The 26,405-nt window shown below is 38.3% G+C and overlaps 1 protein-coding gene across 50 annotated transcripts in view, besides 1 other annotated feature; it reads right to left on the bottom strand.

Moving 5' to 3' along the window:
• The window catches only part of HERC1 (HECT and RLD domain containing E3 ubiquitin protein ligase family member 1), a 225,331-nt gene that overhangs the window by 50,489 nt on the left and 148,437 nt on the right, over nt 1–26,405 (bottom strand). For 17 of the 50 annotated variants that reach the window (XM_047433234.1, NM_003922.4, XM_047433238.1 and 14 more), the window contains 13 exons: nt 21,431–21,670; nt 20,971–21,054; nt 18,739–19,259; nt 15,236–16,011; nt 13,390–13,588; nt 10,432–10,592; nt 7,250–7,366; nt 6,813–7,044; nt 5,364–5,488; nt 3,878–4,098; nt 2,647–2,915; nt 1,867–1,919; nt 630–830 (listed from right to left, as the gene is read on the bottom strand). In XM_047433234.1, coding sequence (XP_047289190.1) covers nt 630–830; nt 1,867–1,919; nt 2,647–2,915; nt 3,878–4,098; nt 5,364–5,488; nt 6,813–7,044; nt 7,250–7,366; nt 10,432–10,592; nt 13,390–13,588; nt 15,236–16,011; nt 18,739–19,259; nt 20,971–21,054; nt 21,431–21,670 — 3,199 coding nt within the window. The remainder of the gene's footprint in view (nt 1–629; nt 831–1,866; nt 1,920–2,646; nt 2,916–3,877; nt 4,099–5,363; nt 5,489–6,812; nt 7,045–7,249; nt 7,367–10,431; nt 10,593–13,389; nt 13,589–15,235; nt 16,012–18,738; nt 19,260–20,970; nt 21,055–21,430; nt 21,671–26,405) is intronic. The other 33 variants (XM_047433247.1, XM_047433257.1, XM_047433241.1 and 30 more) reach the window with 6 other exon arrangements.
• Nucleotides 6,882–7,052: a silencer, noted in NCBI's record as "fragment chr15:63958187-63958357 (GRCh37/hg19 assembly coordinates)". NCBI's record gives its function as "represses an EF-1alpha promoter that drives an FKBP-Casp9 reporter gene in an ReSE screen in HepG2 liver carcinoma cells {active_cell/tissue: HepG2}" and the evidence as "EXISTENCE:reporter gene assay evidence [ECO:0000049][PMID:32094911]".

The raw sequence follows: 26,405 nt of genomic DNA on the forward strand, positions 1-26,405 counted from the left end.
ACCCTCTCACCCAAATAAAAAGAAGACTGCACAATAATTTTAAGTTGGTTACAGGATTCTCTTAACACCAAGTTTTTTTTTAAATAACAAGTTCTATAAATCTTTTTATTGCTTCGGTATCATGAAAGACAAAAAAAAATCAAAACATTTATTTTTTCCTCTTGAGACAGGGTCTGGTTCTGTCACCCAGGCTGGAGTGCAGTGGCTCAATCATCACTCACCATAACCTCAAACTCCTGGGATTAAACAATTTTTCTGCCTCAGCCTCCTGAGTAGCTGGGACTAAAGGTGCACACCACCCACCCAGCTACTTTTCTTCATTTTTTTAATAGAAATGGGTCTCACCATGTTGCCCAGCCTGGTCTTGAACTGCTGGCCTCAAGCGACCTTCTTTCTTCAGCCTTCCAAAGTGCTGGGATTACGAGCATAAGCCACCAAGCCCAGCCAAAACTTAATACCACATTATACCTTCAAAATGTTAAAACAACTGGCTAAAGAGACTTGTTGGGGTGAGATAATGTTGAACCATTAGTCTTATTTACTTTTACTTTATTATTATTATTTACCTATCTAAGAAACAAATTATAGTAGATGCTATAAAATCAATGCAAATCAGGATTTCAGTTTACCTATTTGCATCAGAGTCTCTTCCATACTGTTGGTGGCTGTGACCATTGCTACTGATGCTCCCAGTGGATCGCTGTCAGGGAACTGAACTGGTTCTGGTACAATGCGCCGGTCATTTAAACCAAGCGGTCCAGCAAGTAATTCAAATTCTTCTTCACCAGTTAGCTTTTCATCTTCATCAACATCCAACATGTCCCAGTCTTCTGGAATTTAAATAAATAAATGTATAGTATGTGAATTTAAATATTACATAAATCTGCTGGCAATGGTTGTTCTGAAAATACATCTAAAATGCAGATGAGCAGCCAGATGCGATGGCTCACGCCTGTAATCCCAACACTCTGGGAGGCCGAGGCGACTGGATCACATGAGGTCAGGAATTTGAGACCAGCCTGGCCAACATGATGAAACCCCATCCCCACCAAAAAATACAAAAATTAGCCAGGCATGGTGGTGTGTGCCTGTAATCCCAGCTACTCAGGAGGCTGAGACCGGAGAATTGCTTGAACCTGGGAGGCCGTGGCTGCAGTAAGCTGAGATCACGCCACAGCACTACAGCCTGGACAACAGAGTGAGACTCCATCTCAAAGAAATAAAAACAATAAATAAATAAATAAATACATACATACATAAAATGCAGATGGACTGAAAGTCCAGTGACCACATAATGAACTATGGCACCATCTCCTGAAAACTTAACCAAACTGCACTCCTGAAGCATAAGTGAGACTCTCAGGGAAAGGGAGTCAATGTAGTTAAATAAGTTGACAGCAATAGCAAATGCTACAGCTGGTAATAGAGGTTTAAACTAATTAAAAATATTGTCATGGGTCCAACAAAGAGTTCTTAGCTGTCTGTAATCATTAGGGAATGAGTTATTTCAAGAAAATGAGTGCTCCAGAAAAATCAATGCTCATCTCTATTTATTTTTTACTTTCCACAATTAGGGTGGAAATTCAAAATATACCACATCCTTTCCCTACTTTGAAAAAAAAATACACCTAATAGAAATTAATATTCTGTGGTAAAGTTGGTCTTTGAAACCACGTTCTTTTCCTTTGACTTTTAAACCAGCGTTGTTGCTATTAAATTCCCTTGAGTTTTTAAGGGAAAATTTAAGTTAACATGTACACAAATACAAACACACACACACACGAAGGTGAATTTTAGTAACAGATGTTAAGCAGAGAGGATATATAAAAAAACATGTAAAATAAAGAAGCTCTCAAAACAAACTACCTTCATACACACTGTCTTGCTTGCCAATTAGATCTGGAGCTTGTCCCTTGTACCTGCACCAAACATGAAGAACATTGCATTTTTATATAAAACAGTTAGTACCCCAAGATGCAAATTAAGTCATTAGAACATTTTAAGAGGTCATTAATAAAGCAGCACAAAATAAAAAAGTATGTTTCATGTTATAGGCTAACATAATAAAAACTGCTGGTATGTAGGTACACACATGCTTACAAAATCAATGATTATTTTACCAAACTACTGGGGAGATTTCTGGGTTACCTAAAACAACTCTTTTAACCAAATTCTATTCCATAAAGCCTTAAAGATTTTAATAGTTGACAATTAAGGGCAACAAACCTACTCTCTAGGGATTAAGGATGTAAAGAGATAATATTTTTATGGAACTCGTTTAATCAAAAGTCTGTTTTTTTCATCAGGAAAAAGATCTTAATTAAAATGCCAGAAATATGGTAGAAAATACAAATGAAAAGAATTGAGTAGAAGCCTCCTGAGGGTTAAGGCAAGGGTCCTGACCATTACTTGCCAACAAGTCAGAGGTTAACACAGTCAAACTCCAGGGAAGGATATGTTGCTATGCCATTATTCCTGGGAACATGAATTTCTGAAACCCCTCCATCCCTTCTGCCCAAAGTGTAAGAATCACGGGATTTCAGGGAAGGTTAAATGTAACTCCTCACGTGAAAAATCTACAGTTCCCAAGACTTAAGGTATGAGGTATCTTCAGGAGGTCTGGATATCTACACAATTTCAAGGTACCTTTCAGAACTTGTTGACTTAGATTTGGTCTTCATGGCTAAGTACTTCTCCCTGCAGGTGCCACATAACAGGTAGTACGGATTTCCACTCCCACATTCACCGCCAAACCAGCCATCCACATAGGAACCATTGCTGCGATAGCCCTGGCGGTTTGCACTGCGCCCACAGCCTGGATGGTTTCTCTTCATGTGCTGATTGAAGCTGACGACGCTGCATTCACACAGTTCACACACCACCACTTCTTCCCTGTCTTCAGACTCACAAACATGCTGCACAAAAGGATTTCATACCAAATGATTAGTCAATTTAACATAAAACCAAGAAGTACCAAGTAGATTATTTATATTAAATTACTTTATTACATATGCTAGAATATTTCCAACATGTTCATTAATGCTAAATAAAAAATTTCTTTCAAATCAGAATTCAGATAACACAATCGGAAGGTGTTCTTTGCCCTCTCTCACTCTAATAAGTTATATCAATAATACAAGTAACTGAGTATCCTACTGAGAAGAGTTAATGAACATGACAATCTGTCCTATCTCAAAATGAGGCTTTTTAAAAAAAAAACTCCACTAGTGAAAAGAACTAATTTTCATCTGGTCACAAAATGCATACCTACTTTATGAATTTTTGGGAAAAATCATTATGATTCACTTATTTATATAGCAGATTCTCTTTCCTGTAGGACTTACATCTATGAGCTTTTTGGTCTCCCTACTACAAAAATGTAATGCTAACCAATGTATATACAAATCCACCATGTACCTTGCCCCTAAATGGAGGTATTTACAAGATCTAGGTGAGCACTGGTTCCTAGAATAAGGCATTACATTGATTAAATGGAACCTATGAAGGAGAAGAACATGCATTCAGATAGCAATGTGAGCACAGCAGCCATGTTATATAACCTGTCAACGTCTACTGGAACCTGATGCTTGTTTTGTAATTTATCTTTGACATCAGAATCAAATATTACCACAGTATGACTCTATTCATCTTGTCTGGGGAGAGAAACAATAAAATCCCACAGAGAAAGCAAGAGAGACTTTTCCTTATTAGTTTGTAGGTATCAAAGTAACCTCATAACTTTAAATCCCCAAACCTCAGGATGAGATAAAAGACTTTTTAGAGTGTTTCAACTCTAGGCAAGGCTGCTGTTAGTAAGCTATATGAACAGGAGGGCAGGAAAATAAGTCAGAGCAGCCCCCGCTGCAGTCACACACACCCAGGTAGGCCAATCCAGTACCTCTGGGATCCACATTCCCAGAATATCATTGTCACTGGTCAGGTCTTGTCCAAACATAGCTTCCATCGCCTCATCATCAAGATCAATTTCCAATTCCTCATCTAAATTAAAGTCATACAACGCCCCTGGGTCTTGCTGCAAAGATATTCCTTCTCTCCGACTTTGATTCCTGTGGGCCTGCACAGAGCGGTATAATCCCGCTCAGAACAAAACAAAAAAGGCATTTTATTTGCATGCATAAAATAATTCTGAATATTTCGCCAGTTCTTAACTGCCATACATGTAGGTGAGAACCTATCTCAGTTGTCTTATTGGATCTCAGACCATAAAACATCAAATTATACCTATCACGTGTGTTTCCTCTCTTGCAAAAGGGGATAATAATAGCACTCATATCTCACTGGGTTATTGATAGGTTTAAGTAAGAGAATCCATGCGATGCTTTATAATGTTTTTGTTGCTGTTTTTAGAGACAGGATCTGGATCTGTCACTCAAGCTGGAGTGCAATGGCACAATCCCAGCTCACTGTAACCCTGAACCCCTGGGCTCAAGACATCCTCCTGTCTCAGCCTCTGAGTAGCTAGGACTACAGGCACATGCCACCATACCCAGCTAACCGTTTTTTAATTTTTTTGTAAAGACAGGGTCTTGCTATGTGGCCCAGGCTGGTCTCAAACTCCTAGCCTCAAGTGATTTCTCCTGCCTCCACCTCCCAAAGTGCTGGGATTATAGGCATGAGCCACTGATATAATGTTAATCATATAGAAAAAAACTTCAATAAATATTGGCTATTACTATTCTTTTAGGTTTTAAAAAAAATCAGTTACCTTAATTATATGAGAAATATACAGTTCTCTCACTGTTCCTGTAAATTACTGAATCATTACTCATGTTATAGTATTTCAGTGATCAAATTCTGTTTTGACAAATCACATATTCAAGTTTTTGGTTTGGAAAATATATTCCCTATAATTTATATTTTACATGCCCAGAACGTAATCCTAGAATTTACTAATGTAATGAGGGAATCTGGTCCTTATCTAGCAGTGAAGCCCTAACAACCACAGAGCAGTACATCAGAAAAGCCAGGGCCTACTTTTTTGGCACAGTGCCCTTTCCAGCTCCTTCTTACCACTGATGCTAAACATTAAACATGCATCATCACTTCTTAAATTATAATTGACTGAGAGCAGAAGGAAGAGCATTTATATAATTTCTCAAAATCTACAAGTGGCCAGTATAGACTTCTGCACCCAGGGAAACTTAAAAATAAGCCTATGAATGTATGCTACGATTTAAATAAAATTATGTAAATGCATAGAAAATGATATCCAAATAGCTGTTCTGTTAATGTGGAGGGACTGAGCACTTAGTATCATTAGTTTGAATCTTCTTTAATGTGCCTTTACATTGCTTTCAAAATAAGATCTTTCACAAAGAAAAGGATACGGAACATAAAATTACCTGCTCTTGCTAGCAGTGTGCGAGCAGCTAAGTCAAACTTGTGTCTTCTTGTTACCGCTGAGCGACCTCTAGCTGATGGTCCACTTCCAGAAGCTGCATTCTCTGTATGATCCAAATTATCAGGGCTACAAGTGCAAGTGAGAAAGCAACACAAAGTTTTTGAAACCATTATGGAAAGAAAGCATAGGTGTAAGCTTACTTGTAGTACTACTTTATTCTCATTGAGAATAAAATATGTTTATGATAAAATTTGAAACACATCTTTATCCCTTGAACAGTTCAATTATGCATATAACATTTCCTGTGACCTGAGCAATAACTTTGTCTGATTTTGAATTCTTCCAACAACAAAATGATGTTTAATGAAGCTCAAATTTAAATGAGATCAAATATGACCTTAACTAAATCCTAAAAGATTAAATACTTAAAATTTGAAATGATTGAGAATTCTTGCCTAGGAAAAACAGGTATTTTGAAATACGTTATGAAAATATTCACTGAGCTTGTTGGAAAAAGCTTGCATGCCATCTAGGACACAAGCCTTGGTTACTATATGGCTCCATAGTTAAAATGAAAAATAAAGATTTAAAGTCATAAGAAGTGATGAAGGAAAAAAGATTTTAGGGAGAATTTGTAAGATATTCTATACATCTCATTTTAGGATAGGCATTATCACAGCAATCTTTTTACACTTAAAGGGGCATCTTCTACTAGATATTAAAAACTATAGAAGAGATGAAAATATAAATATTACACAGAGAAGACTTAAAAGTTCAATTCTAGGCCAGGAACGGTGGCTCATGCCTGTAATCCCAGCACTTTGGAAGACCAAGGTGGGTGGATCACGAAGTCTGGAGTTCGAGACCGTCCTGGCCAACATGGTGAAACCCTGTCTCTACTAAAAATACAAAAAATGAGCCGGGCATGGTGGCACATGCCTATAGTCCCAGCTACTTGGGAGGCTGAGGCAGGGAACTGCTTGAACCGGGGAGGCGGAGGTTGCTGCAGTGAGCCGATATCGCGCCACTGCACTCCAGCCTGGCGACAGAGCGAGACTCCGTCTCAGAAAAAAAAAAGTTCAATTCTATCAAATACATTAAATCAATGTCCAATATTAAAATGAATACTCGATTTTATATCACTTGTACGAGATAAAATTATTTTATTAGCATGTTTACTTCAAAATAAACTTGTTTCCTTTTTCAGTACAATTTTACACAAAAATTATGAAATTTCTTCTGGCATGAAAACACCTACTCAAATCAAAACTTGTCATGTCACTTTTACCCTTCACAGAAATATAAACTTGTAACTAAAATGCCCATCTTTTCATATAACTATATTTATCAACTTTACATACAATTAGAAGCATTTATGACGGGATATATAATAAATGGGGCTTTGAAATTTATAACACATGGAACAAAAGTACAGAAACTGGAATTTCACCTTTCACTAAAACCTTCCTCCATTTCAGCAGCATCAGCTGATGGTATGTCTCCAGGTGACTGCAAATAACAGGGATCATTTGACTTCCCGCCACTGCCTAGAACGGCTGCTCCAGGCCTAGAGTCTGCTGTGCTGCCCGACTGGGGCTCCTCTTCATCCTCATGCCCAGGGTGCTCTATCATCCACATGGCAAGGACAGTGATATTCTGGGCATCAGCCTCTCCCCTAGCACCTATACAGGGGAAAAACAGTCTGATGCTGACTTTGGGCAAAGAATTAGGTCTTTATGTTATAAGAGTGTTTGCTATGATGCTCTTGTAACAAAATATAGTGTTAAAAATCTTACCAAGTTTCATAGCCTCTTAAAAGTTATGTTGTCTTTAATAAGCTAGGACTTCTCATATCTGTATACACTGATATATAAAAACTTATCCTACCTGTAGCTTCCATGGCTTTGGCAATCTGCCGAAGAGAGAACCCCATTTCCAGCAAGGGAACTGCAATTGCTGGAGGAGGAGGAGAAGTTGAAAGTCTACTGCTTGGGTCTGACAAGGCTGAGACAAAAGGAAGAGAAATAAGAACCTAAATATCACTAGATACCGTGAGTAAAAAGTGTCTTCATAGTCCTCAATTTCCTAGTATTGTCCAAGTTTAATGAAATTTTCCTCTACTCAGAATATGTGGCTGGGCACTGTGGCTCACACCTGTAATCCCAGTTTTACTAACATCCATTTATGTTATACTTTGTAAAGATTTGTGTAGAGGTACTATAAGAGTATGTAAATAACCCACTCCTCATCCAAGTTCCATATTTGTAAATCTGTATACTCAATAAAATTTATTTGTAATCTCAAAATCAATACTCATGTACTTTTGTAGTCATTTGTGACATATGCAGAGGGACTAAAAAGTTTAGTCCCTCAACATATGTGTTCACAGCTGAGGTCCAACAAGGTGATGCTCTGCCTTCATGTTTCAGCTCTCATGTGAAAAACAAGTGTCCTTTTCATAGTCTATTTAGTGCTACATTCTTCGCATTTTTATGCTTTTGGTCGGTGATTTCCCTGATTAAAATGGCCCCAAGCATAGTGCTAAAGTGCTGTCTAGTGTTTCTAAGCACAAGGATGCTGTAATGTGCCTTATGAAGAAAATACATATGTTAGATAAGCTTCATTCATGATGAGCTATAGTGTTGGTGGCCATAAGCTCAATGTTAGTGAATAAACAGTATGTATTAAATGTGGTATCTTTAAACAGAAAGATGCACAAAACAAGATTATACAGCATACTGATCAGATGATGGAAATGTAACTAGAAGTTCACAGGAACTTAACCCTGTATTTCTCCTAGGAGCAATGGTTCAGTATTTGCTAATTCAGTGTTCATAATAACCTTTTAGAACATAACTATTGCTAATAATGAGAATCAACTATTATTCCATGTATTCAGTAAGTTAGAGGAAAGATTGAGCATGTGAAATAAACACGGAAGATGAGATTAAAAAAAAACAAATCAAATGTCTACTGATGAAAACTATAGTGTCTGAATAGAAAAATACACTGGACATTAACAGAACATTAGACACTGCAGAAGAAAAGATGAATGAATTAGAAGATATAGCTATAAAAACTATCCAAAACAAATAATAATTTATTATGGAGCTTATGTGTAAAAGTGAAATGTATGAAAACAAAAGTATAAATGATGAGAAAAGGAAAATAAAATCATCCTGTTGTAAAATTATTACTTTAACTACATATGAAGTGGTACAATATCACCTTAAGGTAGACTCTGATAATTAAAGACATATACTATAAACCAGAAGGTAATCTCTAAAAATATAAAACGAAGTACAGTTGACTCTTGAACAACATGGGTTTGTACTGCTCGGGTCCACTTACATGTGGATTTTCTTCTGCCTCTGCCACTCCTGGGAGAGCAAGACTAGTCCCTCCTTTTCCTAGCCTACTCAACGGGAATATGACTATAATGAAGACTTTTATGATGATCCACTTCCACTTAATGAATAGTAAATATATCTTCTCATCTTTATGGAGTCAAAAGTTATATACAGATTTTCAACTGTTCAGGGGGTTGGTGCTGCAATCCCTGCAATGTTCAAGGGTCAACTGTATAGCTAATAAGCCAACAAAGGAGGTAAAATGGAATAATAAAACTTATTTAATTCAAAGAAAGTTAATTAATTCAAAAGAGAACAAAAAACAGGTGGAACAAAATAGAAAGAAGGTGGATTTAAAACCAACCATATCAATGATCACATTAAATGTAAAAGGCATACACACCCCAATTAAAAGGTAGAGAATATCAGATTGGATTAAAAAAAGCAAGATTCCCTTGAGGTCAGGAGTTTGAGACCAGCCTGGGCAACATGGTACGACCCTGTCTCTACAAAAAATTACAGAAATTAGCTGGGTGTGGTGGCATGCACCTGTAGTCCCAGCTACTTGGGAAGCTGAGGTGGGAGAACTGCTTGAGCCCAAGAGGTTGAGGCTACAGTGACCCAAGGTCACTCCAGCCCGGGTGACAGAGCAAGAGGCTGTCTCTAAAAACAAACAAACAAACAAACAAAGCAAGACCTAACTACTACAACATGCTGCCTTTACCCATTTTAAATATAGAGACACAAATGGATGAAAAGTAAAATGATGAGTAAAGACAAACCATCCTAACAATTTTTAAAAAGCAGGAGTGGCTATAACATCAGAGAAAGCAGATTTCAGGGCAAAAAAATATCACCAAGGATAAAGGCATTTCATAATAACAGAAGGTCTATTCATTAAAAGAACGTAAGAATCCTAAATGTTTATGAACCTAAAGACAGAGCTTTAAAATATATGAAACAGAAACTGAAAACAGGAAATAGAAAAATCCACTATTATCGTCACAGATTTCAACAACACTCTCTCAATAATAGACAGAACAAGTAGACAAAAAAACCAGAAAGGATAAAGAAGACTTGGACAACAGTATCAACCAATTTGAGCCTGCTAAACAATTTATAGAACACTCAACAACAGCACAATACACGTATTTTCCAAGTGCACTTGGAATATTTACCAAAACAGATGATATTCTAGGCTGTAAGACAAGTCTCAATAAATTTAAAGTGATTCAAATTATACAAGATATGTTCTCTGACAATAATAAAATTAGAAAGCAGTAACAAAACGATATCTAGAAAATCCCCCAAATATTTGAAAACTAAATAACATACTTCCAAATAGTCCAGAGGGCAAAGAAGACATCAAAGGCAAATTAGAAAGTACTTTAAATGAAAATGAAAACACAGCATTTCAAAATGTGTGGGTTGCAGCTAAAGCAGTACTTAAAGGGAAACTTACAACACTAAAAATGGCTATATTGGGAAAAATGAAGAGCTGATATGACTAATGTACAGCACATTATTTCTCTCCGAAATGGCCATAATTCAATCCACAGCTTCAACATGAAGATCATAGCTCAGTTTAATGGGGCAGTTCCCCTTCATTAAAATCACTGTTTTACCTTCTGTGAAGACAAAACACAATGCCCACATAATAAAGTCCCACACATCTGGAATGCCAACTTTGGATATCATAGTGCATATCAGCACACGCACCTGTGCGGTTAGCTGGCCTTGCTGACTGGGAATCAGGAGAAGTTAAACTTTGCCTCCTTCCTACTTCATCAGAAGGAGAGGTTGGTAACGAAGATATTGGAGGAGTCTGTGCCCGACGTGTGGGAAGTACAGTGGTAGTTGGGTAACTAGAGAACATTTGCCTTTAAGAAAATAACAGTGGTTAGCATAAAAATCCAATTTACGAAATAATACATACATCACAATCTTCTTATAGAAGAATATGCAACCTGGAAGACTAAACAGGTTAGTTATAGTTTAATGGAGGGTGGGGAGAAAGACTCCTTAGTTTTAAAAATGATTATCTCATGCAGCACTTTCAGTATAAATGTAATAAAACCTTATGATTCTTTCAGCAAAATGCCAGCAACAAAGCAGGTTGGGGGAATACAGCCATTAGCAAAATAGATGAAAAATGCCTGCCTTCACAGAGCTTTCCTTCAACTATAATACCAAGATAAGAGGGGTAATTTGGTATGTACAGTTACAGTGCAAAGAAGGCTTTTAAAGATAGGTAACTTGCAGTTACTTTTAAATATTAATATAAACTCACTAGCTAGTCATGAAATTATTCACATGGATTGAAAGTAATGGTTTACAGGCAAGTTATGGAAAGAAAAGGTAACTGTCTAGTCACCTAGCACAACTGCAAAACAGTACATGAATGATATGTCAGCGGCACAGTCGGGGAAAGGTACGGGGAGGCAGCCCCTTCTCCGATGAGAATGTGGAGCATGGTCAGGGAAAGGTATTGGAGGGAGAACCCCTCTTCAGTTGAGAAATGTGGACAGCAGTCAGAGTATAAAGTCCATAAAGATCCACACTGACTGCTCTTCAGATTTGTCCAAAAGAACTAGGAACTTTCTAAGTATCAAAAATGTACTGTCTACCAAGTCAGTAATACAATGGTATACACACAGGAAGGAGTAGTTCTCTGGTTTTTCCTCTACTAAATGATGTTCGCCCAGTAAGAGCCAAGTGCAACTCTAATGAAGTCCCAGCCAATAGCAGGAAAATGAAGACAGAAGAAATGAGGAGTCATAAGTCCTGGTGAATGCCTATGGGAGCAAGGGGGCATGATTCTACCACTGAATCCCATGCCCACACTAATCAGAGCTGAAAAGGTTACAAGGAGTCACAGTGCTACTGATCTTGTGTGGACGCCTTGAATTCTGTAATTGCCAGAGGGATTAAAAACCATATTAGAATGTCGTATCAGGCAAGCATCGTGGCTCACACCTGTAATACCAGCATACTTTGGGAGGCTGAGGCCACAGGATCACTTGAGGCCAAGAGTTCAAGACAAGCCTGGACAACAAAGCAAGATCCTGTCTCTACAAAAAAATTTCAAAAAATTAGCGAGGGGCCAGGTGCGGTGGCTCACATCTGTAATCTCTGCACTTTGGGAGGCTAAGGTGGGCAGATCCCCTGAGGTTGGGAGTTCGAGACCAGCCTGACCAGCATGGAGAAACCCTGTCTCTACTAAAAATACAAAAAGTTAGCCGGGAGTGGTAGCACATGCCTGTAATCCCAACTACTCAGGAGGCTGAGGCAGGAGAATCGCTTGAACTCAGGAGGCTGAGGTTACGGTGAGCCCAGATCGCACCACTGCACTCCAGCCTGGGCAACAAGAGTGAAACTTTGTCTCAAAAAAAAAAAAAAAAAAATTAGCTGGGTGTGGTGGTACACTTGTAGTCCCAGCTACTCAGGAGACTGAGGCAGGAGGATGGCTTGAATCTAGAAGACTTTGAGGCTGCAATGAACTATGACTGTGCTGCTGTAATCCAGTCTCAGTGACAGAGTAAGCAGCTGTCTCTTAAAAAAAAAAAAAAGTGAGAGAGAAAAAAAGAATAACCTATTATTCCTCTATCTTCCTTATTCTTTGAACAGACGCACCTCCTGAAACTATTATTCCAGTAAGAGAGCTAACATGTAGGAGATATGTGGGGTCTGAAAATGGTACTAGGATTGTACTCCTGCACAAGACCACAGCAGTAATTCTCAAAGTGTACGCTGAAGCCACTGTATCAGAATCACTAGAGAAACTTAATTAAAATGTAAACTATGGGCCCCACCAGACCTACTGAATCAGACTTGCTGAGGGATACAGCCCTAGAGCTTTAAAAAGTTGCCCAGGTGGCCTTGGGCACACCAAAAATTGAGAATCACTACAATAGACACTCCCCTGTTCCACTGTTTAAGATGTCAGTCTACACAGTGAAAATCGTAATGCCTTCTTAACTAAGGAAAGAGGGGAAAGAAGAAAAAGGGAGGCTAACCATTCTGCTTCCCTTATTTCACTTAAGTCATAGTTAAGAGAGCTCATAAAACAGTCTCTTCCCTGAAGGCTCTTCTCTCAAAAGTTTTCATTTGTATATACATCTGGCAAATTAAAGCAAAAAGAAATTTAAGTAAGCATCACTTGGAATTTACAAACCTATTAAAATAGAGTTGGCTAAAGAAGCATCATAAGACATGCCCTTTCGTTTGAAAAGCAGACTTGCTCGAAATTTTTTTAAGAATAAAAATACAGTTAAAGAAGTATGCTTAAAATGAAAACAACCTGAGAAGAGAAAATTATTTTCATGGAGGTGAATATTCCAAATAAAAGTATTTACTTTTTGAGGAAAAAAAAATACTCAAAAACTTAGGGGAAAAAATTATCATCATAAGAGAGAGAATGTTAGACTACTTGCTGGTCAGCACGACAGCTGATTAGACCTGGGATCACCACTAACTGGCTGTGAGTTTTGGGTAAGTTATTAAACTTCTGAGGGACATTTCCAAATTCAGTAAAATGAGCTTGACTATATAATCTCTTAGTTTCTTTCTAGCTCTAGAACACCAAGATTCAGTTGGGCATACTATTCATATGAGGACAACTGTGCCTTCAGAAACACAGGCATCAGTATGGCAGACATTAAAGGTCAACTTCTCTACCTGAGAAGACTAAGAGGCATCACTCCCGGGGACTCGGATGCAGGCACTGTTTCTGTGTCAGTGACTGGAGTGGTGGCAGTTGTGGTGTCCTCCAGAGAGCTGCTCATAAAGGAGGTCGTGCTTGAGGCTGATGGGCTAGTAGTAACTGGTGTCTGTGCCTGCTGGGCAGGGTCACTTTCTTCAGCTTGTTGATCAATCTCTAGAAACCAAAAAAAAGGTTAAGAAAGTAGTAAGGATTTGTTTTTTCAAAAATAACAGCGGGAATAAAAAACTTCTACCTGTTTAATTTAAAAGTTTCTAAATATATTTCACAAGCATCAATTTCTATGAAAGATTGACAGAAAAAAATATTCTTACTTATATACATCTTTGTATTCACTACTGTACTCATTAATTCCAGACTCTACAGACAGTATTGTAATGAGCCCTTGTAATTACACATTTCTGTTTTTAGAGAAGAGGGTTCTCTTAAAAACAAAAAAAGTCTCACTTTTGGTTGTAAGATCTGATAAGAGGTTCTCTAAGGTATCCAATCATTAAAACTGTGTTTCCTTCACACTTTCATTTTGATGCCTATCTTTAATCTACAAATAGGCAAAGATAAAAGCATGTAAATACAAGAAGAGTAAAAACCAAGACAGAAACTTCACAATTTAAAAAGGACAATTTCATTAAAAAACCCACTTAGTTAACAACTCTAAAAGTTTACAAAGTATTTATATATTTTTTTTAATTGTTAAGGAATCCTACAAATAAACATAACTAAAATATGAGTTGCTACAAAGACAAGTAATTCTATTAGGTTTGATAAAAAGCCACATTACTTCACAATCATCATGATCTTAACATTCCTACTTATATACACCATGTACCTCTCTCTCTCTCTATTTACTGTCCAAGCTAAGACAAGAAGAAAAGGAATAAGTACAAAGGAAAAGAAGAAAGAAGGGAAAGAAGGAAGAACAATATAAACTCCATGAAGGCAAGGGACTTTGTTTTGTTAACTGCTGTCTCTCCAGAACCTAAGAAAGTACCCAACACATAGTAGGTACTCAACAAACATTGACTGAACGAATCTCATTTTTATTTCTGCATTCATATTCTCCCCAAATGTGAGGATACAAGATAAAACAGAGCTTTTCTTTTTTTACATGCAATATGCAGCCTATGAAAGTAGAGACTTTAAAATTTATTTTAAAATATCTCTGAGAAGATATCAGAATACTATGTATTTTGGTTTGTTTTTTGAGACAGAGTCTCGCTCAGCCGCCCAGGCTTGAGTGCAGTGGCACAATCTCGGCTCACTGTAACCTCCGCCTCCCAGGTTCAAGATATTCTACTGCCTTAGCTTCCTGAGTAGCTGGGATTAAAGGCACACGCCATTATGCCCGGTTAATTTTTGTATTTTTAGTAGAGACAGGGTTTCACCATGTTGGCCAGGCTGGTCTAGAACTCCTGGCCTCAAGTGATCTGCCCACCTCGGCCTCCCAAAGTGCTGGGATTACAGGCATGAGCCACCATGCTTGCCAGAATACTATGTATTTTGAGTCAGATCAATAAATACTTTTTTTGGTATAAGTTAAATTTTGTTTTACAAAATGTAGTAATAATTGCTGTGTTCTAACACTGGTATAGGTTTAAAATAGCAAAATTATAGACAGAAGATTACTAATAGAAAAATAATAAAAAAGAACTGTTTTCAAGAAAAAATGATGTGAAAATTGCTTTGACCAAAAAAAAAATTTTTTTTTTTTTACAAATCACTTACAGAATGTATCACTTCTGACAATTATGAAAATAATCTCAACAGCACAAAAGCAAAAAAAAAAAAAATCAGATAACATACCTTGCTTAATTTTGCCCCCAAACTGGTCTTCCAAAAGCCCATGAACCACTAATTTATAGATCATGGCTTGCGCTCGTTCCAGATCAGCTAATCCCAATGCTCTCTTTATGGGTGACCGCATGACTGCTCGCTTCACCATGTGTCGCATCAAGAACTGCAGGGCTGCTCGCATCTCCACGTCTTCATGAACAACTGGAGAACTTGCACAGTCTGAGTTGTGGCCATTTTCAGCCAGAACTTTTGGTATCAGCAACAGCTCAGCATATTTACTACAGCCAAGAAGGGCACTAAGTGACTTCATAGCACCGAGGTAAAGATAGGACAGCTGGACTGCTCTGATTTCTGACTGGGCTACATCATGGTTTTTGGACATGTGTTCATGATTTTTTCTTTTCCCTTCTGTTATTTGATGTTGGGATTCCACACTTGGCAGTGTTGGATCTAAAGAAAATGAAGCGATTTCATTTTCTGATTTGGAGCTTGTGGTACTCTGACTTTTGACGTCATCAGATGTTAGGCCTGTTCGCATATCTAAAGCGGATTCACTCTCAGGTTTCTGCTCAACATCCCCTTTCTCCTCGGATTCATGTCGGTGTTTCTTTTCATGTCGTTTGGTGCTCTGTTTGCCCATGTCTTCATGAACGCCAGTGAGATATGTTAGGTCCAGCAGCACAGAAGCCGTCAGGCCTCGGAATCGCGCCACATCAAACGGCAATGGTTCACAGGGTTCCAGATTATACAATGGAGTATCACTAGGCGACCAAAAAGTTGGGAAGCTTTAATAAAGATCAGAATGACACAGGAAGAAGCAAGTGAGGGAAAGACGGGAGGAAGGTACGGAAAATAATGTAGACAAAATAAGGTGCATCATGTACACAATACAGAGAATAATTTACACAAACTAGAGAAATCATTACAAACACAGAGAAAAACGAGTCTATTATGAGAAAATGGGGAGATGTGATACTAAATGCAGAAGCAATGAGATGCTTTCAAATAAGAATATTCACTAATATATAATGTATGCCAGGAGTTAGCAAACTTTCTGTAAGGGGCCAGACAGGAAATATTTTAGACTCTGCAGGGCACACAGTCTCAGCTGCAACCACTCAACCCTGCCATCATAGTGCAAAAGCAGCCACTGATACAACTAAACAAATGGGTGTGGCTGTGTACCTTTACTTATAAAAACAGGAGGTTGGTCAGATGTAGTTTGATGTAAGCTATTCAGAAAATTTGTATAATAAATCTAGTTTATAAATGGTTACTTATAACTTATTTCAGTGAGGACTTCATTTCATAAAAAAGTTTACTTTGTAGTCTCAAATAATGCCTCTATAGTTTAAGCCAAAATATAATTATATATTTCCTGATATTGGCAAGAACTTCCTGAAGTTTAAGAATGATATAATTATACAAAATGTAATAAAAAGCTTTTGCTGGTATAAAGTTTTGTTGTTCTAACCTAAATCTTGGTTCTATATTACCTTTCTATTTTCCTCTAGGCTCATTTTTCTTGTTTTAATTTATTAATTCACTTATTTTGCTATACTGTATACATCTTTTTTTTTTTTTTTTTGGAGACGGAGTCTTGTTCTGTCACCCAGGCTGCAGTGCAGTGGTGCGATCTCAGCTCACTGCAACCTCTGACTACTGAGTTCAAGAGATTCTCCTGCCTTAGCTCCCTGAGTAGCTGGGATTACAGGCGCACGCCACTACGGCTGGCTTTTTTGTATTTTTAGTAGAAAGAAGGTTTTGCCATGGTGGCCAGGCCGGTCTCAAACTCCTGACCTCAGGTGATCTGCCTGCCTCTGCCTCCCAAACTGCCGGGATTACAAGTGTGAGCCACCAAGCCCAGCCTACTGTATGCATCTTAACCAGGCATCATAAATCCTTTCTGAAACAAGGCAAAGAATGAGAGGAAAGGTCGACACTTGCATGTCATTCTGTAAAGCTGTCACTGGTTTCTTAGCTTGGTAGAATGGAGGGGAAGGCAGAGTCCATTAACCCCTGAAATTGTGTGTAAAGTTTATGTGTATGTATTTTTTGGCTAAGATGATCCATAGCATTCACTAAATTCTGAAACAGTACCACTCCAAAACCACAAAGAACCACTGTTTTAGATATTGTTCCGGCCGAGCGTGGTGGCTCATGTCTGTAATCTCAGCACTTTGGGAGGCCGAGGCAGGTGGATCACTTGAGGTCAGGAGTTCAAGACCAACCTGGGTAACATGGTGAAACCCTGTCTCTACAAAAATATAAAAATTAGCCGGGCATGATGGTGGGTGCCTGTAATCCCAGCTACTCGGAAGACTGAGGTGGGAGAATTGCTTGAACCCGGGAGGCAGAAGTTGCAGTGAGCCAAGATCATGCCATTGCCCTCCAGCCTGGGCGACAGAGCGAGATTCCGTCTCAAAAAAATAAATAATAAAATCAAATAAAATTTAAAAAGATATTGTTCTATGTCATACCAACATGTAACTTTACAGGAATCACAATGGGCAGCATAATGAACAGTTACATAATATCACCAATAAATCCATATTTTCAAATGATACAATTATGTAGAGTCATTAGACAAATGAGTCTACTTATCAAGGAAGATACTTGACAGGATGAGTATCCCTTATCCAAAATGCACAGGATCAGAAGTGTTCTGGATTTCAGATTTTTTTCCCAAATTTTGGAATATTTACATTGTACTTAGCAGGTGAGCATCCCAAATCCAAAAATCCCAAATCTGAAATGCTCCAATGGGCAACTCCTTTGAGTGAAAACCTGAAACTTTTTGAGCACCAACATGATGCTCAATGGAAATATTCATTGGAGCACTTTGGATTTTGGATTTTTGGATTTGGGATGCTCAACCTGCATTTCCTTGTAAACATATGAAATTTGTAATTTGCACAAATCCTCTCTGAATTCAAACACACCTAAATGCTTTTAAATACCCAGTTTGTGTTAAATAAATGTAACTTTCACATCTAATCAAAATGTTTACATTGAGGGGATAGAAATATGTGGTTTTATAAAAAGGAAGAATACTTAAAATTACAGATAATGCAAAGCCTAATTTCAGTCCGTCAAACGTTCATATCCAATATTCAGAGCCTTGCTACCACAAAATGCAATGAACAGATTAGCTGGCTGGCTTTTTACTATGCCAGTGTGTAACAGAAATGATCAAAATGCAAAAAGCCAAATGAAAATTGGAAGAAGAATCCCAGTTAAACATATAAACTAAGGAGCTTACCATTTTTTCCCCAAAACAAAACAGAACAAAAAGACTATGTATTTTTAAAACCCACTAGTATTTCAAAGAACATGGGTTTAGGAAATTCTCCTTTAAGAAATTACAGTAGAAACATCTAGCTGCATGAGAAATATTTTTAAAAGTTAACTGGCAGCTCACCTAAAATACATAATTACTCACTGTCGACAGGCAATGGCCTATTTCACCATTAAATATTTGTTTGCTAAAAGTGTAACTCAACAGATCATACCTGATAGTAATTTCTGCTTCATCCCATTGGACCTTGGCAGACGTGCTGCCCTCTTTGACCACTCCCAGCAGCGTGGCATGGCGCCCAGTTTGCTTGTGAACACACCGACCTCCAACTCTAAGACCAGCATCAACTCCTCCTATCACAGCCAGCACGGGCCACACCTCTATGCAAAGAGTCCTCAGCTGCAGCTCTGAGAGGTCAGCGAGGCCATGCCTAGTATGTTTACCTTTCTCTTCCTCTTTGCTCTCCTTCTCCTCTCTCATTTCATTTTCCTCTCGGCTCTGAACCGAGCGGCTTTTCTTTAGCTTCTGACCTGACTCTTTAATACATATCTTAATTTTGTGAAGCCTTTCCATCATTTTTTTGTTAATGCAGTAAGTCCAACGGTCTGTTCGGTGAAGGATACGGATGAGCTGAATAGTGGCCTCAGCCAGCACTGCTGCTACTGGACTACAAATAGGGTCTCCTGGAAGTAAGTCTCGGGGTGTGCCACGCATCTGCATATCACAAATTTTCACCTATATAAAAGTAAAGAGGGTGGAAAACACATGCTATTAGTAGTTCTTCTTAGTCACTATAAATTCTAACATGTAGAATCCCATGTTGAACTAGTATTTGGGTCTCTTCATACATGTGAATTATACCAACTGGCCCCCAAAGAGTAAGGAAATGTCACAGACACACTGAAGTTAGTAGTGGTATGGTCCACTGGAATAAGCTGCCCTGTTATTTACATTTCCTGTAACTCATGAATTCCAGAGATGTTAGGAAAATTTGAAAGATGAATATAGAGACCAAGCCGTATATGACTGACTCAATTTAGTCTAAAATAAGCCTTAAGGATATACTCATTCTCATCCTCAAGGCTCCAGAATGATGAGTCCTGGACATTTTACATTGTTCAAGGGGTGCAAAAGTAAAATCATAAAGTCACAATCTGGATACACACTGCAAATAAGACACAGAAGTAAAAAGAGGAGCAAAACTTGGGTTCAAATCATAACTCTGTATAATCTTGGGAAATTATTTAATCATTCTAAGTCTTAGCTTTTCATTTAAAACCTGACACTAATAATAGCATCTGTCTCCTACAGTTATTTTAAAGATTAAATGAGATTATGCACATAAAGTGCTTATTAGTACATTGCCAGTCACACTGTAAATGTTAAAAAAGGTTAACTGCTATTAGTATTGTGTTTCTCAGAGGTTCTAAAATTTATCAAAAATGCCTTCTAGATAGAATAAATTAATTGATACATAGTCTAAGTCTGAATGAATTTCTTCAAGGTTCACAGATGGCAGAAAGCACCAGGCCATCATTCGAACCAGAACATGACAGAAACTACTTTGGGCTGCAAACCTACATAGGGCAAGGGATGGTATCAGGCACTGGGCTGCATCTTTACTTCATCTCCAGTTCAGTTTTGGTTGTCCTGGCTGTCCAAGAAACAGTTCTCAGCTAGCCTTAAATTATAATTCCTTGACATTAAAAATATGTATTTTTAAAAACATAGAATAAAAGGTAATTTTCTTGGTTAGAATATATCAGGTCCAGCAATTTCATTATGGAAATATTATACATGATAAAACCTGAAAGCTTCTACTACATAATGGCTAGAAATTCTTGAGACTTGACTTAAGCTGTACTATGCATCCGCAAGTGAAAGGATGGAGTAGGGAAAAAAAATCTACCCACCAGCACAGGGAGATCACAAAGGTTTTCTCTGCCTGGGTTTTGGATGAGGTGAAAGAGAAAGTTTACAATGGAGGGTATCCTATTAATACTGTTGTCATGAAGTTCAAATTCACACCATCTACAACACCTGAAAATTCCCCCAGCTGAATGAAAGGTAGTTTCCTCATGATGACTACAACTTCTATTATTCAGCTGATAGCATCTTATTACATTTAAAATTATTTCTAGATTTCTCTCTCATACCCATAATTGCCAGTGAATTAGATTATCCCTAAACTAGGTCTTGTAGTTCTTGTGACTGCACGTTTGAAAGTTGACTCACTGTATTCAAATTGCCAGAACATGAAATAGTGCCTTAATATTAATATATCGTAAAGTCAATTTCTGAAAGTAACCTTCTTCTAGAAGAATGGATTACCTAAGTCAAGTACTTTTAATGGCAGAAGAAATAGCTTATTATATTTATAAACTCTATCTGATGCTAAACAATAAAATAACAAATATTCTTAAATAAAGGTTTGAGACTTCATTACCTTTTCCCCTGGATTGCTACTATAGAACATCACACATGGGTACAACTCTGCTGCATCCACATCTTCAAAAGCTAATTTGGGTTCCTACAGTGTGGCAGCAGTGAGGAAAAGAAAAAGGAAATAGAAATTTTTTTAATTCACAATATCTAACCACATTAGAATTGAAAGCTTTTATGAGACAGAACAAAAGTTACTAGATCAAATTCTCAATTAACCTTGCTAACCGAGAAAATTCTACATATAATAAGTGATCATAATGTGTTCATCTGTTTCAAAAATCTTATTGGGGTTTTACTATCTTCCTGTTTGTTGTTAATAAATGTTTTAAGAACCAGAAAGTATTAGAGAGAAAGGAGAGACGAGCAGATAATCTATAAACTGAATACGTGGCACTTGAATAACCGAGTTGACTATAAATAGAAACAAGAAAAATGTAATGCTTGTGAATGGGTGTCGGTACCTCTCCATTTTTCCCAAAAGAAATGGTCCTGGCTTCCATGTCTAACACACAGGTAATGAAATCTCCTTGAGTAAAGCTGGACAATGTGAGAGTCTGTTCTCCATTGTGATAGAGGTTACCACTGTAGGCCCTATAGAGCCACATATCCGAGGTAGTGCGGTGATTAAAGTCATGTACTGGCCAGCGAGAAACTCCAACACACGTGCCTTCATTACCTCTGTTTTCCTTCACAATATAAAACTAAAATAAAAGTGGGATATTCATTAATACTCAAAAAATCTATTTATATACTATTAACTGCATTAACCAATACTGAAAATATGTTTATAAATAATACTAATGCATTTATGGAAACATGTTATTTTCAGCATAAATAAAAATAACACGAAAATAATCGCATCAATTTAGAAAGATTTTAAAACATTCTTTATCTTGCAGGGCATTTAGAATAACCTTTGAATATCTATAGTATTTAAAATAAGCAATTCTAACTTACAACTTAATAATGAAGCTGAGGAAGTATGTTTAGTCCAGAAATTAATGAAAACTTTAATTCTTTACATATAGATTTTAACTACTCTCTTGCATATACCTCTGTTTAGAAAAAGAGTTAATATATTAAGCCTGAGACTAGGTGTATTGTTTTGTTTTGTTTTGTTTTGTTTTGTTTTTAATTTTCTAAAGAGATGGGGTCTCACTCTGTTTCCCAGGCTGGAGTACAGTAGCATGATCATGGCTCACTGAAGCGTCAAATTCCTGGGCTCAAGCAATTCTCCTGCCTCAGTCTCCTGAGTAACTAGGACTACAGGTGTACACCATCATGCCTGGCTAGTTATTTTTTGTAGAGATGAGGTCTTGTTATGTTACACAGTCTGGTCTTGAACTCCTGGCCTCAAGCAATCCTCCCACCTCGGCCTCCCAAAGTGTTGGGATTATAGGCATCAGCCACTACACCTAGTGTGACTATTACTATTTTCAAAAAGGCATGCTTGCAACACTGGCCTTTGGCTAGGACCTGGGAATTTGACTGGTAAAGTTTCTTACACTGATTTAAAAAAAAAAAAACTTCCCCTACGTGATAAAGGTGGCTCACTGACCTAGAACATTTAAACACACAATGTGGTTTATGCTGAATACCTGCTCTCCTTCTGGGAGTATGAAATGTTGGTACATGTCAGGTTGAAGGTGTCTACGTGACCAGCCCCCAGTAAAAACCTTGGGTTCTGAATCTCTAATGGGGTTCTCTAGAAACATCACACACATGTTATTTTTCTTGCTGGGGAAAGCTTGTGCACTTGTGCTCATGGCAGGGAGAGAACAGAAGGAAGCCTACAGGATTCTTCTATACCTCACCTGTGTCCTTCCCTTATTAACTGGGTGTATATCCTTACCGCATCATTATAATATAAGTCTCCGTCATGAGTGTATCAACGTGTGGAGTCTGACGAGTCCTTCTAGTGAATCTCTGAATGTGAGGGTGGTCTTGGGGACTCATGACTTAGCAGTGGCAGCAATGAGATTCACTAGAACAACCCTGATGCATTAGAATATAGTTAAATATTGCTGGGGAAAAAGAAAGAGACGAAAGGAAAAGATAAAACTCTGGTACCTAGGTGGCTATGGAGTTACACATAGTATGAAACAGAAGGTGGACTGCTATCTGTTGTGAGGGGCAAAAGTTACCTATCAATTTTTAAGATAAATCCAATCACAAGAGAGTTGGTTTGCTACCCCAGACGCTCTTGGCCTTGCTAGCTAAAGTTAGGAAAAAAGAGCAGCTCAGGTAAAAACTGTGCTGTTCTTTCTTCCAGGAACAACTTCTTTCCTGAGGAGAAAGGGCCCAAATATTCCCACAAGTGGGCTTTAGATGAGCCAGAGTAGAAAAATTAGCTTGTAGTTGCTCTCTCCTCCAGTGGGAGGGGAAAGGGTTCAAAAACCCCTGACAGCTTTGAGTGTGGGTGCAGGGGCTCACACCTGTAATCTTAGCACTTTGGGAGGCTAAGGAGGGAGGACTGCTTGAAGCCAGGAGTTTGAGACTACCTTGGGCAAGAAAGCAAGAACCCCATCTCTACAAAATATACAAAAACAAACAAACAAGAATAGAAAGGAACTACTCCAGCTATTTTCTTAAGCTGAGCTTTTGCTATTGCTACAGCAGGTTCTCCCCCTGCCACAATTTACCTTGTAAATGCTAAATTTATTGCTAGAGGTTTGAGTAAACTTAAGATGTGAGAAGGGAGGAAGAAAACTTTTAAAAACAGCTTTATTTTGTGGCAACTACATCTGGATGTATGATTAAAAAAAAAAAAGATGCAAAGGCTGGGCACAATGGCTCATGCCTGTTATTTCAGCATTTTGGGAGGCCGAGGCAGGCAGATCACTTGAGGTTGGGAGTTCAAGTCCAGCCTGGCCAACATGGTGAAACCTTATATCTACTAAAAACACAAAAATTAGCCAGGCATGCTGATGCGTGCCTCCAGTCTCACCTATTCGGGAGGCTGAGGCGGGAGAATCCCTTGAAACTGGCAGGTGGAGGTTGCAGGGAGCCGAGCTTGTGCCACTGCACTCCAGCCTGGGCAACAGAGCTACACTCTGTCTCAAAAAAAAAAAAAAAAAAAGAAAGAAAAAAAATTAAGATGCAAAATGTTACAAGCTTGTAACTTCATAAATGCTAAAGTTTCATCCTGATCAGGGAAAGCTCCAAAAGAAAAACATACTAGTGGGACACAACTTACTTGCTTTTTGTCACCAGTGGGTGGATTGGAATTTAAACTCTATATTAAAAACAAAACAAGTGTCTATAACTGGTGGGTTTTTGCTATGATTTTTTCCTATTGGAGTCTCTGGGAAAACAGAGATAAAATAAAAGAGAGGCAAGCTCTAGATGGAGATATAGACATATGCTTTTAGAGTTTTAAAAAACATTCAGTGGCTAACGAGTTCTTATAAAATCATATGTCTAACACTTACAGGCTGATGACTTTCTAGCCTAAGTACATATTTCTGAGTGGGTCAATCTGGACTCCAAGATTGACAAGCAAACAGAGCTTAGAAAAGCCTTGTTTTCAAGCCTGGACTTAAAACACTATTGTCAGGTCCTACACCATCTAAGGTTTGTTTTTGTTTTTAAGAGATAGGGTCTCTTTCTGTTACCCAGGCTGGCATGCAGTAGTGTAAACAGAGCTCACTGTGGCTTCAAACTCCTGGGCTCAAGCAATCCTCCAGCCTCTGCCTTCCAAGTACTGGGACTGTATAGGCACATGCCCCCATAACTGGCCCCATCTAGATTTAACTGCTGCCCCAAAAAGCTGCTGGCTTGGAATCCTGAACTCACACATTCTAATTGCCTGGACCTGACTATAAGCTAAAACCTGACACTGTGTGCTCTAGGTTATTTCAACCCAAGTGAGTTGTGCTCAGCTAAAAGCAGGCACAAGCTGAATGAACAAAACTCAAAATCTGGGACTGTTGTGGATTTGGAACACTCCCCCTCTGTGGGGCCACAAAGTCTGAAAAACATCTTGGATGCTGGCTGGACTGTCCAGGTTTCTTGCAGGTATCCACGAAAAGAGTGTGTTTTCTGGGGGCAATATACTTCCAAACACTCTTTAAGAGATTGTATTCTCAATACCCTCTAGGTGATGTCCCAACATGTTAAGCTTTCTAGAATAGTTGCAGTTTGCAACAAGGGACTGATCAATTGACTCTACATCCCTCACCTTTCTCCTGATAAACAAGACACACCAATAAAGCAGTTTACTAAATAAAACTGTTCCCAGAAAGAAACTGATCTTTTCCAGACTGCCCACTGGATAAATGATTAGGACGAAAGATGTAGAAGGTTTTATAAACCTATTTTGAAAAAAATAAACTGTAACTGAAATTTTGTCCTGGCCAATTCCTAACCTTTCTGGTTAAGTTGTATGCAAATGTTTTTGTGTGAAAACTCTTCCTCTTGCATCCAACCCTTCTGGACAAAAAGGTCTAGATAAAAATAACAAATGATTTTTAAAAATTAAAAAATTTAAAGTTGTAATTACTAAATGGGACACTCAATTTCATACAGAGAAAAAACAAAAACTCAAGACTTGGGAAAATATGGAGGAGTCGGGAGGGCATTAATGATCTGTTTTTCAGAACTGTTCCTAAAAGTTCTCTACCTTCTAGCGGGGGAAAAAAATCTATGTTGGGCCAGGCGCGGTGGCTCACACCTGTAATCCCAGCACTTTGGGAAGCCAAGGTGGGTGGATCACCTGAGGTCAGGAGTTCCAGATCAGCCTGGCCAACATGGCAAAACCCTATCTCTACTAAAAATATAAAAAATTAGCCAGGCGTGGTGGCAGGCGCCTGTAGTCCTAGCTAATTGGGAGGCTGAGGCAGGAGAATCGCTTGAACCCAGGAGGCGGAGGTTGCAGTGAGCCAAGATCGCACCACTGCACTCCAGCCTGGGTGACAGAGCAAGACTCCGTCTCAACCAAAAACACAAAAGAAAATAAAACTATTTTGTCTTGAAAGCTGCTGTGAGCACTTTAAATTCAAACTGATTGCTGAGCTTCTCATCAAACTTGTCAAGTCTGTCAAAAGACCACAGTGGGTGGCTCCAGCTCCTGCAGTTTCCACAAAACACCTCGAGATGTCATCCACACTCTTGAGGCAGGAATAATGATGTCACAGAAAACAAAATCCTTTAAAACTGACTGCTTTCAGACAGTCCCTCTGAAACCAAGACTCAACTTAATTATTCAGACTGAACTGGGAGCACAGAGTGGAAGGCCCCATGGGGGCAGGTCACATTGGTATCATGTTAACCTGTGCTGCCTATTATATGTTCTGATTACAGGTGCCCTAATAATTATAAATTCTTTGTTTCCAAGGGCAACACATATACCCTAAGGGATTATATTTCTTGTGTGTGCACCTTATCATAATACCTCAGTCCTGGACTGGCCAGAGTTGTCCAGTGCTAAATTGATGA

This window comes from Homo sapiens, chromosome 15, assembly GCF_000001405.40.
Source record: "Homo sapiens chromosome 15, GRCh38.p14 Primary Assembly".
NCBI lineage: Eukaryota > Metazoa > Chordata > Mammalia > Primates > Hominidae > Homo > Homo sapiens.